We start from the raw sequence: 16,037 nt of genomic DNA on the forward strand, positions 1-16,037 counted from the left end.
AGGGGTCTAAGATTTTTGGAATGGTAAGTCAGCACTGGCTTCATCTTAAAGTCGCCAGCTACATTCGCTCCTAATAAGAGAGTCAGCTTGTACCTTGAAGCTCTGAAGCCAGTCATTGACTTCCGCTCAATAGCTATGAAAGTCCTAGATGACATCTTCTTCCACTGATCGCAGAGCAACATAACAGATATAATAGTAATGACAAAGTCTGAAATATTGTGAGAATTATGAAGAGGTGACAGAAGGACACAAAGTGAACACAAGCTGTTGGAAAAATGGCACCAATTGACTTGCTGGACTCAGGGTTGCCGCAAAACTTCAATTTGTGAAAAATGCCATATCCGTGCCATGCAATGAGGTGAAGCAAAATAAAACAAGGTATGTCAGCATAAAATGCCATTTTTAAGTTTAAAAAAAATAATGAAGCAGACAGGTGAATTCACTGCCCAACCTAAGCACTACCACACCATGAATGCTAGTCTGTTCTCCAGCACTCCTTCCTAGTTCCATTCTGTTTCTCTCTGATTTGTTAGTTTATTACTTTTATATTTAAAAAAAAGTATTTCTACCACATACGCATGTATCCTTAAATAACATTTGTTTAGTCACTTCAATTTTGTTTAGTATTCAGTCATTTGCAACTTTCCTCTTTTCATCAAGATTGATCTATGTCATCTTATTATCTGTAGCTATTGTTCATTCATTTTTACCAGTGTATGAAATTCCACTGGGTGATCATAGCACATTATTTTTGTCCAATGTCTTTTCAATAGATATTAGAGTTGTTTCTATTGCTGTGCTCTTTGGGAAATGCTGTTGCTAATAGGCTCATGATGGTAAGTTTCAGAAATTCTCTGGGGCGGTGTGTCTCCAAATGGGGTCCCTGGACCAGCAGCTGCAGCAGCATTTGCATCACCTGAGAATCTGTTAGTTCTGTGGTCTTAATATTTCTGTCCCCTCAGATTATATGATGAACTCTTAACCCACATGGTGATGGTATTAGGAGATGGGGTCTTTGAGAGATGATTAGGTCATGAGCATAGACCTCATGATTGGGATTCATGATTGGGATTGGAGACTCCTGAGTACTGCCTTGCCCCTTTCAGCATGTGAAGACACAGCTGAAATTTCCACCTATGAACAAGGAAGTGGACCCTCACCAGGCACCAAATTTACCAGTGCTTTGACCTTGGACTTCCCAGCCTCCAGTGCAATGAGAGATATATTTCTATTGTTCCTAAACTATCCAGTTTATGGCATTTTATTATAGCAGCTCAAACAGATGAAGACAGTTAGAAATACAAATTCTCAAGCTCTAAATCAGATGTACAAAATCAGAAACTCCGAGGATGAGCCCAACAGTCTGTTTTTGTATGTGATTCTGATGTTCTCTCAAGTATAAAAATTATACTAGGAGTTAGCTTGCTCATTCTTGACTCAGTTTACCTTAGTTGTTAAATCTTTTATCTTAGAATATTTCTCAGTTTTATATCTCTTCAATTCCCTGAAGAGATTAAGATTTTAAAAAGATTTCATTTTTTTATCTCATTTCTTCTGGGCCTTGTAAATTATTCTTCTAAATAATTAATTTATTCCATCTTAATCTCTAAATCCTAATCATAGATTTGAGAATTTAGATCTCAAGGATTAATTTTACTTCCCTCCATTGCTTCTACCCTTTTATATCTATTGATTTAAATATTTCAGATTTATCTCATATTTATTTTAATTTCTAATTTTCAATCATCTCTAACATTTTTAAGCGCCCATTATTTCTGTATTTTTCACGTTATCTCACATTTTCCCCATTTTCTTATTTTTTAATGTGTTTCATTTTTATTCTTGGCAAGAAATGAGCCTTATAAATTGTGAACAAAGGGTTCATGTTAGAACCAAAAGATAATAGTGATTTTATTTTTTAACCATAAGTTGCTTTAATACCCTCTTCTTACCTTCCCCCAAAAAAGTCATGGACAGGAAGCTGTGGCAAGTTGAGATTGTCTCTTCTTTGAATTAATTTCCCTTGGATAGAATTCTCTTTTCAGCTCAGCTAATTTGACCCAGAGGAACAGTGGACTTTCTACCACCCACATAGGCAAAGTAAGGAGGACTTTGTTCCTAGGGAGTTCCCTCAAGCCATGTGTCAAATGTCTGTGACATTAGATGGAGTCTCACCAGTGGGTTAAAAGATGCCTAGAGGAAGCAACAGATGACACATTTTTATAATCTGTAGATAACAATAGCCCTAGAATTTAGGATTTTTATATGAATTTAGGATTTTTTATTTTATTTTTATATGAGAAATATGGAACTTCTCAATCAGTGTTTGCATGTAAGAACACCCATTGGTCTTTGTTGACACAAGGAATATTAAGGGGCTAGAGTAGAGAAAGTAACGGTGCTTATGAGTCACTACTTAAAAAAAAGAATGTGTCAAATATTAGAGACAGAATGATGCAGAAATTCGAAACACGAACTTTGGAGCTAGAATCTGCCAGCTGTATTTTTGGGCAGGGGTCTGGCAGCTGTGAATCCTGCTAGCTGGGTGGCTTTGGGCAACTTTCTTAACTTCTCTGTGCCTCAATTTATTCCTGGATGAAATGGAAATAATAACATAACTGTTCTATAGATAAAATGGGTTATATGTAACCTATGAACATGGTGCCTATAATTACGTAATAAACACTGTAAATGTGATGTTATTGTTGTTACTACTGTAATTACATAATTTACATTTTTCCAAATGTATCATATCCTCACAATGTTGGAGTCACCCTCTAGTGTTTGAAAAAGCCTTATTTATAGCCAACATTTTAACATTATTTTAATATTAACTTATTTAAATATTATATTAAATATTATATTTCATATTTTTTGGGAAAATGTTTATTTCTCTGGAATGAGAGCTTTTAAATAATCCATTAAATATTAACTTAGCTTTTTATTTATTTGAATACATTATGAAGAACTGCAAATCTCTAGAAGTTATAGCTGAGAGTTTACTACTAAAGAATGCATACATATACATGCACACACACACACACACACAGAGTAAAGTAACTTATGATTAGAGGTGCTTTACAATTTAAGTACTAATACAAAAGAAACACATGAAGTTGGAGTCCACCCTTGATTTTTCTATGGATTTTCCATTAATGGCTTGAAATCCTTTAATGAAGGAGGCCTACTGAGCTGAGTTATACACATTTTTGTTAGGGAATAATTAGGTTCATGAATAAGTAATTCAAAATAATGAAGACTTATGAGTTGATGTGAATCATAAACAAGCTGTTATTGTGGTTGCCCTCTTAGAATTGAAAATTAAAGGATTAGTCATTTCTTTAAGATTGACCTTCTTGGGTCTAATGAAAATATAAGAAATATTTTAGAATAATTTTTATGGAAGACTGTTGTCCATCTTTTTCAAAATTCTCAAGAAAATCTCAAAAGAGTCAACAAACAGAGACTATGGAAACAATCCACTTAGAGAGTACTTGACCAGGCTTAAGAATGGGGCAGTACTGGGATCTGGGAGACTTGGCTTCAGTGTGCTGCCCTAAACTGTTCATTCTGAAGTGCTCTGCAAACCTGAGCCTCCGAGACAAAAGGAGGCCAAGCTCGCTTCAAGCAATTGTCAGTTCACACCATGGCTGTTTTTCATGAGTTTTAAGGGCTGAAAAGGGGGATGGAAAGACAGTTTCATCTCTCATGCCAACTACAATCAGTGGGTGATGAGTATCTGCCTGGACTATGTCGAAAATGAATCCGAAGTTAATTCCCAGCTCAGAGAGTGCTGTAATCAATTAATGGAGTCTGGCATTGCTAGGGAGAAGGATAATCAGCACCCTCACCAGGTATTGGCCATCCCAGGATAGAGGGATGTCAGAAAGAAAGACAAGTCTCCTTTGTTCAGTTTGGAAATCATGCTCATTTGCCTGGGTTAATTTTATGTATTGGTTTGCATAATTGAAATGCCAGACTCCTCAGCAGTTTTTTGGACCAGATAGCTTAAAACAAATAGCACTATGATGCCTACCTTCTCACAGTTTATAGCCTAAGTGAGCAGGACCTTTGTCTGATTCATTTTTGTTTTGTTATTAGAATAATGCCTGGCATATAGTAAATGTTTCATAAATTATTGTCATTATATATTCATCGACTATTTTTTGAGCACCATTTTGTGTCTATCCTTGGGTTGGATAATGAACGAAACGGAAATGTCATCTGCTTAATGGAGCTTGTGCTTAGTGAGAGGGTTGGGCATCTGATGAATTAATAGGCGAATTGTGGTACATGCTACTAGGTCAATGTACTGAGCTCAGGGAGAGAGAAGAATGGTGGAATCTGCATGAGAATAAAGATTTTGGGAAAGACCTTTTGAGAAGAATCTTTTGATTTAAAACTGAAAGATGGGTAAGAATTTGCCAGCTAGAGATCGTGATTTTGTTTGGAAGAAGATTCCAAACAAAGGAACAGCATGTGCAAAATCTGGGCATGGGAAAGAATTTGGCATGGGATAAAAGGCTGGCTTGGCTGAAGTATAGTGAGGGAGGGGATAGACTTTAGGATGACCTTGGAGAGATAGGTAGGGCCAGGCTTTCCTGAGCCTGAAGGTCATATTAAGGAACATGAAATGTACCTTAAGAGTAATGGGAAACCAATAAAGAGCTGGATATGGGTTGAGTTGTAGAAACTATTAATATTGATTGACATTTTAAAATGTCACACTGGGAGAAGAATTGGTTGTCTAGGGGAACTTTCCCAAGATTACAGGGGCAAAGCCAGGCTACTCTGCAACGTATGGCAATAAACACATAGTGGCTATCTCTTTAAACAAAGCATGAGTACTCCATCTTCCAGGGGTTCACGTCCACTCCCTTTGGCTACATTGGTGACAGTGGATGTAGAGAGAAATGGATGAATTACTTTGTACTTGGCCTAGTTTACTCCTCAAAATGACCTGCTTTGCTATTGTACAAATGAAGCTGTCACCACTGGACCACTATCTTTATTTCAATAACTTCTGTTTACATTTTCTCTAAATTCCCTTTTCCAACTCAAAAGGTTGAAAAAAAGAAGAAGAAGAAAGGCCCACTCTCCAACTTTCAGAGAGAAATGTACTGGAAGATGAGACAGGGAAAATGGTCTTGGCTATTTGTAGACTTGATCTAATGTCTAGGAATGATAATTAGCCCTGTGAATTCCTAAAGGGACTGCTTGAAGTCAAGTTTAGCACATGCGGTGGATTGCCCTCAGAGGTGAGGAAATAACTTCAGTTGAGTCAAAGTGTAGTTTCCATTGTCTACTTTAGCATGATTCTCCTGCCACTCCATTGGCTGCACCCTTTAACCTTGCTGCAGGAGTTCTCCCAGTTAGTAAATGGTGAGCATCTTAGAACACTCATGTGAACTATTCTTATGTGAGAGACAGCATGAAATTGGAATATAGTCTCTAAGCCCAAGTTTCTCGGCAGGCTTTCTGTGACAGTTTGGTCTGCACTCCATCAATGCAGCTTTATAATGTTGTTAAATTTTGTTAAGGGAGCATTGTGTTAATTAAATCATCAAGCAGATATTGGGTAGCTAAATTGCAATTATTTGGTCTTTGATCAAAACTCAGGCTTTCTCAAGTAAGTTGGTCAGAGAATAGGACTTTTATTGTTCACATTGCCAGCAGCAAGAAAAATCCATTTTTCCCCAACCCAGACATGTTTAAATACATCTTAATTGTCCTGATTACTCTGAGAGTTTTGTTCTCAAGACTTGGCTCCATTTAAAGGGCTGAGTACTTCTTGAGAATTGTAAGAAAAGCAAATCTGACTGAATAAGGCCAGCTAAGATCAATATTTTTTATTAACTAGTTTTCTTTCATTTTGTACTAAGAAATAATGCAGATGTGTCATACAATGGTTATGACAATGCAAAAGTTTTATCTTCTGAAAACATAAGACTCCTGCCACCCTTGAACCTCCAGTTTTCCAGACCCCATTGTCAGAGTGATGTTGGACACAATTTCATGTGTCTCCTTCCATAATTAGTCTAAACATGACGTACGAGCTTGTGTATGGACTATGTATGCACATCTATACAGGCTATGCTGAAACAGATATATAGCACATCTGTGTTAGTCTATTCAGGCTGCTATAACAAAATATCTTAAACCTGGTAATTTATAAACAACAGAAACTTATTGCTCACATGTTTGAGGCTGGGAAGTGGAAGGTCAATGTGCCAGCAGATTTGGGGTCTGTTGAGGGCTCATTCTCTGCCTCACAGTTGATGCCCTCTATGTGTTCTCACAAGGCAGAAGATGCAAACAAGCTTTCTCAGGCCTCTTTTATAAGGTACTAATTCTGTTCATGAAGGCTCCAACCTTAGGATCTAATTACCTTCTAAAGGCCCCACCTCTTAATCCTATTGCACTGGGAATTAAGTTTCAACATATGAATTTTAAGGGGGACACAAACATTGAGATTATAGCAATATCTGTCATTTTCTGCTCATTGGAGGGCTTCTTTACCTGTTGTGCACTTTGCTTTTTGTACTTAGTTAGCTCTGCCATTGTTTCATGATTCTTGGTAATTTCAATATTCATGTAAGTAAAGCATTCACTACCCTGAACTCTCAATGAACTCTTCCTCAATGATTTTCAGTATCTTGTTTTCTTTATCATGCTATAATCTGGACTTGTCATTGCCAATAAAGAAAAACAGCATTTTATTCTCGGACTCCTGAGTCCCACTCTCCAGTCATCACCTCTAGGTTCCCAACAATTCTTCAACCCCAACATGACCTACAAACCATTGAGACCACCACTGTTTGTAACCTTGTAACCCCTCAAATCTGCTCTTCCTTTCTTAGCCAGCTGAGATCCCAAAGTCCAATATATACATACATACAAATTTTCCTTTACATATGCCCTTAAATTTCTCACCCTTCATTATACACATCAGAGAGAACCGCATCATAGGTTGAATCCAACTTTTGCCTATTTCATGTCTAAACACAGTCTACTACCTGGCCTGACGTTAAATGTAGAATTGCTAACCCCAAATGGGCCCTCTGCTGCTGATTTTTCTGCATCTTTTCTTTAGTCCATTAACTCTCCCATTCTCTTGGGACCTTTTTCTTCCTCTCAAACCTGCAAAATCTCCTCCCCAAACTTGGCTGATGATATTGCTTTTTTATTTTATTTATAAAAAAGCAATCATAAGAGAGCTTCCACATATTAATACCAGTCACCTACTAACTGACAGGCTCTTCAATTGTATACTCTACCTTTCATCCAGGTACTGCAGATAAATGATTCTGCGAGCCTGCAGCTAACTTTTGCAGGGCTTGAAGGACGAATATGCTTAGAGATCCCAGCTCAGGTCTAGACGTCTTCTTTTTCAAGATCCATTCCCCTCTGTCATGCAAAGAGCAACCCTTAGAAATGTGGTTCATCCTCTGGAAAGTTGGCCTGGGAAGAGGATCTTGTAGGTCTTAGAAGTAGATTCCAATTCATTGAACATTACATGGAATGCATTCTAGAAGTGGGGACACTGGTTCCCAGGCTATCTGTGGAGGGGTAAGACATGAGGAGGGTGACATGGAAGCTGTCTGAAAGCGTGAGGCACGTGCCAAGGGTTCAAGGTGCCAGATCGAAAAGCAGAGTGGCTGTCTGGTCTCACACTAAGAACACACCGCACCACTTGTACAATTTTATGCCATCATTTACTTTGATCCCTTCTCTTGATTATGCAGTGAAAGTTCCCACTTTCTCCTGCATCAATGATATTCTCCCATCTCTAGACAGTTATCCTCAGCATATACATGTGCTGGAGTTTCATCCATCTCATAAAACCAAAACACTAAACTACCAACTTCGGGGCAGTGTGTTAAGTATGAGATAACTGGAAAACTATCTAATACACAAGCAGTTTTTAAAATTACTAATCATATGAATGAACAAATACATTTCTCATTGATGTATCATTTTATATTTTATAAAATCATTTTGTATTATCTTCCTCCTTCTCCCCTATATCTTCGACCCTCCAATAACTAATTTCTTTGCTCACCTACAAAACTCTTTGAACACATAGTTTATACTTGCTGCCATCACATTTTTCTGTCCTGTTTCATCCTGACTCCATTCCAAGTTGACTTTTATCACTGCTACTCCACAAAACTGCTCTGGTCAAGGTCATCATGACTTCTAAATTGCTAAAACTGGTAGTTAATCCCCAATCCCATCGTAGCCAATCTGCAACATTCTGGCCAGTTATTCACTCTATTCTGGAGTCATTTCTTCCCTTGGCTTCTAGGTCATCACTGATTTTGAGTTTGTGTATTTTGATTGCCCTGACTCAGTTGTCAATATCTCACAATAGGAAAGCCCCGAGAAGCTGCTGGCCACTTCCTCCCCTGTCAACACTCACATTCTGAATGATTGGGTGTGTTAAATATGCTGTGTGTGCTGATGCCTCTCAAATGTGTATCTCCAGCCTTGATTATGCCCTAGAAATCGACTCTCACTTTTTATTATTTGCATTCACATGCTTAACGGCGTCTCAAGCTGAACAGGTTCAAAGACAGCTTCTGACCCTTCCACTAACCCGCTCCAATTGCTGCATCTTATTCATGTCATTAAGTGGGAATCCCATCCTTTCCTTTGCTCAGACTTAAAACCCTAGAGTACCTTTGACCTTTCTATACCCCACTTCTTGCATATCTACAGATGCTTTTAGCTATATACCGTGTATAAGAAGTTTATACAGACTAGGAAATTTGATACTCTCATTTTTTATCACTCCCTCCCTGAATATGACAAAAACTTTTCCAGTAACTACTGGGAAATGAAGCAAATAAAATAATGGTCTAAAGAAATGCAGACAGGGAAGTTTTTCTTTTATGTTTTTTATTATATGAACATGCCAGCAAAAATGTATGTAAATGTATAATTTTTATATACATAGTAAGATAGTAATAGTTTTAATGACATTAATGCATTTTTTAAAAGGGGAAAACCTGTGCCTAGATATTTGTCTTTCTCAGTATCAAATACCATTAGAGCGTTTGTTAAACAAGGTATAAAAATTTTAAACACAAAAGCTCCAAGTAGTCATATAAAAAGGCAGATTTAAAGTGTCGCATGTTTTGCCGTTTCTTTATTATAATCTCTGGGGTCTCAGTGTTTATTTCACATCTACTCTTTAAACGCAGAACGGTGTAGTTCCACTGTGGTTGGAGGGACAAGCTATGCCTGAAGCAAGCTTGAAGGCATCCAAATATTTAAGACTCTGCTCTTGGAATAAATGCATGTGATTGAGTCTACATGTGTGCGGGGCCAACTTACGAACAGGGATTTTCCAAATGAACTTTCATTTACAAAACAATGTTTATTAAAGAAAAAGTAGCAGCAATGTGATAATCTGAAACTTTTATACATTATTAAATAAAACTCAGTGGTAACTACTGCAACTGATTAGAAATAAGATGAATAAAATATGTTTCTGAGGAAGGATTGTTCTTATCACTGATATTGTTCATAATTTTTGGCATGGTGATAAGTAGATCAAATTGTAGTCATTTCATTATCCTTTAAAAATTATCTGTAATCACTGTGTGCCCCCTGTTACCTGTGCCCAGGACAGTCCCCTTCCACACCTGTCCTCTGTTTCCCACTCATTGGAAAAAGAGGTAGTTAGCCTGTGACATCAATGGTTGTTTAATGTGAGTCTATAATACCTATACTTGCAAAAAAAAAAATCATGAAATAGTGGCCTACAAAACAGATCAACCCTCACATATCTTTTATTTTGACTGTACTGGGCTTTTAAATTAGTGGCCATCATTTAACAATGCAGAGAGTTTGCATAAAAATATGTATTGCTAGCTGCTCTTAAAATACTGGTAGCTGCTATAACATGGGTGAACCTCAAAAACATTATGCTAAGGGAAAGCAGTCAGAAAACTCTGCCTATACGCATTGTCCAGAATGGAGACGGAAAATAGATTAGAGGTTTTCTCATGTGAGAGGAAATGAATGTGATTGCTAATGGAAATGGGAACTTTGTGTGTGTGATAGTGAACGTGTTCTCAATTTATGTTACAGTAATAGCTGCACTATTCTATAAATACACTGAAAACCATGGATTTGTATACTTTAAACAGGTGATTTTTATGCTATGTTAATTTAGTCTCAATAATGCCATCAGAAAAGACAAAAAAAAAAAAAGAACAGTTGGAAGATCAGGTAATACTGATGCCACATTTCCCTATGGTAAAAACTGCTGGTATTTTATTAGGACTTTTTCTATTTAAATGGATTCTACGCTTTTCTGCTCACCTCAGTCCCTACTAATTCTTCAAATCACTCTCAATCCTGAGGCCAAAGCCCAATTTGTCCCTGCACTGTTTTCCTCACCATAAAATTAAGAGAAATTTAATTTTTTTTGGTATCCGTATCTCTAGCAAATATAAGTAATTGAAAGATACAACTGAAGATGAATCATATGTTCCATGATTAATGAGGAACAGCCACTTTCTCCGTGGCCTCTTGTCTATCTCATTGATTTTGTATCACCTACCATGCTGCCATGTCTTAGAGCTCTTCCTAAGATGGATGAGACAGAAGGAGCAAAGGTGTGTTCCACCAGAATGCACTGGTCCCGCCACAGCTGGTGTGCATGCATGAGGTCAAACCCACCAATGTATCATCTGACTTGCTGGTATCTAGGCTGTGGCCACATTAAATGTCACGAAGGTCACCTCTGTGGTATGCCTCATGGATGGTAGAGTTGACAAGGCAGAGCAGAAGGCCCCTAGGACTTGGTGTTCAAATAGGTAGGGGCCGATTCTTCAGTGTTCACCCAGACTGCCATTACCTTCCCTTGCCAGGCTTCACCTCCTGGCCTGTTTGTTTCTGATGCTTTGCCTTCACGAAGGTGGAAAGCCCTACAGTGGTCTCATAGAGTAATATTCTCTCTTTCTCTCTCTGTCTCTCTCTCTCTCTCTCTCTCTCTCTCTCACACACACACACACACACACACACACACATCTATGAACATAAATTTAAAAATTCATCACTAACGGCTGGGTGCAGTGGCTCACACCTGTAATTCCAGCACTTTGGGAGGCTGAGGTGGGCGGATCACCTGAGGTCAGGAGTTTGAGACCAGCCTGGCCAACATGGTGAAACCCGTTTCTGCTAAAAATACAAAAAGTTTGCCGGGTATGGTGGCGTGCACCTATAATCCCAGCTACTCGGGAAGCTGAGGCGGGAGAATCGCTTGAACCCGGGAGGTGGAGGTTGCAGTGAGCTGAGATTGCACCATTGAACACTAGCTCAGGCAACAAAAGCCAAAGTCTGTCTCAGGAAAAAAAAAAAAAATTATCATTAACTATAGAGGGTGGTATTAGGGCTCTGTAGAAGGACAGAACTAACAGGATATATGTATATAGGAAAGGGAGTTTATTAGGAGAATTGACTCTCACCATCACAGGATGAAATCCCACAATAGGCTGTCTGCAAGCTGAGGAGCCAGGAAGCCAGTCCAAGTCCCAAAACCTCAAAAGTAGAGAAGCTGATGGTGCAGCCTTCAGTTTGTGGCTGAAGGTCTGAAAGCCCCTGGCAAATTGCTGGTGGAAGTCCAAGAGTCCAAAAGCTGAAGAACTTGGAGTCTGATGTTGAGGTAGGAAGCATCCAGCACAGGAGGAAGATGGAGGCCAGAAGACTCAGCCAGTCTAGTCCCTCCACGTTCCTCTGCCTGCTTTGATCCTAGCTGCACTGACAGCTGCCTACATGGTGCCCAACCAGATCGAGTTGTGTGTCTGCCTCTCCCAGTCCACCAACTCAAATGTTAATCTCCTTTGGCAACACCCTCACAGATACACCCAGGAACAATACCTTGCATCCTTCAATCCAGTCAAGTTGATGCTCAATATTAACCATCACAAGGGCCTTACAGTAGGAGGTGACAGGATGTACATACGATAACAATATAAGACACAAGTATCAGATTGAACACATGAGTTAAATTCTGGTTCTTCACTGGGCGTGGTGGCTCACGCCTGTAATCCCAGCACTTTGGGAGGCACAGGCAAGCAGATCATTTAAGGTCAGGAGTTTGAGACCAATATGGTGAAACCCTGTCTCTACTAAAAATACAAAAAATTAGCCAGGCGTGGTGGCCCACACCTGTAATCCCAGCTACTTGGGAGGCTGAGGCAGGAGAATCGCTTGAACCTGGGAGGCAGAGGTTGCAACGAGCCGAGATTGCACCACTGCACTCCAGCCTGGGCAACAGAACAAGACTTCGTCTCAAAATAAATAAATAAAATTTAAAAATTCTGGTTCTACCACTTACCATAGGTGTGGCAAGAGATAGGCCCCTTTCAAACTTAGCTATCTCAGCAGTAGAATCGGGAGAATAATGCTTTATTATTACTATTTTATAGCTAAGAACTTTGAAACAACTAAACAAAAGGAAGGATCTCTTTGAAAGACTGAGGGTTTTCTGGTGGTGGCCACAGGCAGGGATAATGCAGGAGTGTGCTGGACTCAGGCTGTGTGGCGCTGGCTCTATTCCCTGCTCAGCTCGGCCTCCCTCTATTCTCTGAGCAAGGCTTTGCTTTCCAGCTGCTTCCACAGCTACAGCATGGAACAGGGAGGGCTGCTTCACGTCTCCCGAATGTGATACCTTCTTGGTTCTATTACGAGAATTGAATCTCTTGGCCCTCCTTCCAAATTCTCGGAGAAGTGATGGATAGATCTAGATTAGCCCAATTGAACACTGAGGTTTAGTCACGTATGACTTAAGGAACAGAACTCAATATAGCAAATAAAGTGGCTGGAGACCTACACCAATCATGTGTGGATTGGTTGGGAAAAGGATGGCGTGGAGAAAAGGCAGTCATTGTGACTGAACCCATATCCCCAAAGATAAATACAAAAATGCATACCTAAATGTTCTTTTTTAAAAAACTGTATTATTATTAGCTTTAAGGTAGAAAAGCTGAAGGCAGCAAATTTAGGAAGTGCCTAAAGACAAAGCAAGTTGACTGCTGTGATTATTATGATTCAGAATGCTATGAAATGAGACCCAAGCCTTTTTTTAAAATTCTAGAAAGGAGACTCCTTAAGAACTCAAATACATTTGGTGTTTGCCTTTTTTTTTTTTTTAATTTTGAAAATAGATCTGGTCGACAAAATTAAATTGTTTTCTACCTAAATGTATTCATTCATGCCTATTCATCTTAAAATGTCCTGCCATATATATATTTTTTAAAAAATACATCGTATCAGCGAGACTCCATCTCAAAAAAAAAAGTATGTCATATGATGGTCAGCACTTAATTGGTGGTTTCCATCTTTTCTCAGTCCATTTCCTAAAACTCTTTACAATTCTTTCTTCATACAGAATTCACCATAGAGAACATAGAGAAGTTAGAATTCATTTCTTTCTCTTTCTGTCTCTTCCTTTTTCTCTAAGTACACATTTTTGTAAGTCTCTGTAGTAATTTTGGTACTTATGGGCTTTCCATGACTTGGCATTAGGTCAGCAAGAAACAGGCAATAATTTGACACTTTGATATTTGCCAAATTTTTCAAAATACTTAATATTCCACTTACTTTTTTTCTCATAATATTGAAATGAGGAATAAAATGGAGAAATAATTTTCAGAGAAAAAGAAATCTTTGGCTCAGCAATTCCATTTCAATAAATTTACCATAAAAATAGTAAAATATAATGTTCTAAATTGTATACTTCTGTACTTATTACTGCGTTGTTTATAATAAGAAAAATTTGAAACAATTAGTTTACAATAAGAAAACTAAAGAAAACTTTAATGTCCAAAAAATAAAAGCTAAGTTGAAATAATTATACTACATGTATTCAATGAACTCTTCTGTAATTTCAAAAGCACATCACCAGTGCGTACAAGAGTGTGATAATAGTTTTATGAATTTAGTTTCATATCAGACACTTACATGTACACAGATATGTCCATATGTACACATGTATAATATGTGTGTATGTAGTATATGTGTTTGTATATGATTGGTAAAAATACACCAAAATGCTAACAGTGATCCAGTGATAGCATGGATGTTGTGGAACAAAGCTAGGCTTGGCTTGCCTGGCACAGTAAGACCAGATACCCACACTGAGTGTATTAGCCAGCCTCCTGAGGAACAGAACTAATAGGATATATGTATATACGAAAGGGAGTTGATTAAGGAGAATTGACTCACACCATCACAAGGTGAAGTCCCACCATAGGCTGTCTGCAAGCTGACGAACAAGGAAACCAATAGTAGCTGAGTTGGAGTCCAAAAGCCTCAAAAGTAGGGAAGCTAACAGTGCAGCCTTCAGTCTGTGGCTGAAGGCCCAGGACCCCCCAGCAAACCACTGGTGTAAGTCCAGGACTCCAAAGGCCAAAGAATCTGAAGTCTGATGTCCAAGGGCAGGAAGCATCCAGCACGGGAGAAAGATGAAAGCCAGAAGACTCAGCAAGCCAGGTTATCCCACCTTCTTCTGCCTGCTTTTTCTAGCCGCACTGGCAGCCAATGGGATGGTGCCCATCCACATTGAGGGTGGGTCTTCTTCTCCCAGGCCACAGACTCAGATGTTAACCTTCTCTGCCAACACCCTCACAGACACACCCGGAAACAATACTTTGCATCCTTCAACTTGACACTTACCCATCACACTGAGGTTTGCAGTGACAGAAAGGAAGGCCTTTATTGTAGGTGCCAAACAAAGAGGACTGGGCCACAAAGTGCTCAAATCCTGACCTTCCCGATGGCTTGCAGGAAAGTGTAGTGCAGGGGTAAATTTCAGGAAAGGAGAAGCTACAGGCAAAATTACAAATCAATACACGGAGGTTGCACATTGGTTTAGGCCTAAAACAGCTGGATATCTTGAAGCAAGGGCTTACAGGTGGTAGGTAGATTCAGAGACTGTCTGATTTGCAATTGGTTACGGAAGAGAAGCTTTGTTTAAAAATCTGGGGTCAGTAGAAAACTGTTAACTGTCTAGCGGCTGTGACTTTCTCCAAGGAAGAAACTTAGAACAAAAGACGATGGTTAAGGTTCAGTCTTCACCTCCCTCTTTGTTTTTTTGTGCATATATATATATATATTTAATTATACTTTAAGTTCTAGGGTACATGTGCACAACGTGCAGGTTTGTTACATATGTATACATGTGCCATGTTGGTGTGTTGCACCCATTAACTCATCATTTACATTAGGTATATCTCCTAATGCTATCCCTCCCCCCTCTCCCAACCCCATGACAGGCCCTGGTGTGTGATGTTCCCCTTCCTGTGTCCAAGTGTTCTCATTGTTCAATTCCCACATATAAGTGAGAACATGCAGTGTTTGGTTTTTTGTCCCTGTGATAGTTTTCTCAGAATGATAGTTTCCAGCTTCATCCATGTCCCTACAAAGGACGTGAATTCATCCTTTTTTATGGCTGCATAGTATTCCATGGTATATATGTGCCACATTTTCTTAATCCAGTCTATCATTGTTGGACATTTGGGTTGGTTCCAAGTCTTTGCTATTGTGAATAGTGCTGAAATAAACATACCTGTGCTTGTGTCTTTATAGCTGAGGTCTATGTGCTAGTGGGTCCATTTCATGGGGGTCCTCAGTGGGGCCTTAAGCTTCTGAAAAACAACTCTGGGACAAATGTTAACATGTTATCACTGGTTTCTATGGGGAAAGCAAACATTTTTGGAACTCTGTCTTCGTTAACTATTGTTTTAGACCTCTATGCTTTAACAAGTTGCTTATTCACATCTGGGTCTAGCTAGGTTCCTGGAATTTTCCTTGAAGGAACTTAGGCTTTTCCTTTATTTCCATGCTTGGGGGTCTGCAGGCTCCTAAAAAGGAGGTCCTCATTCTGTCTCGTGGATGAATATTTTCTTTCTCTAAAATGGTTTTCTGTATTTTCCAAATTTTCTGCAGTGAACATGCATTATTTGTATAATCAGAAAAACAATGAAGACCAGATCAATTAAAACCTAACAAAAAGAAGCCTA

This window comes from Homo sapiens, chromosome 20, assembly GCF_000001405.40.
Source record: "Homo sapiens chromosome 20, GRCh38.p14 Primary Assembly".
Classification (NCBI taxonomy): Eukaryota; Metazoa; Chordata; class Mammalia; order Primates; family Hominidae; genus Homo; species Homo sapiens.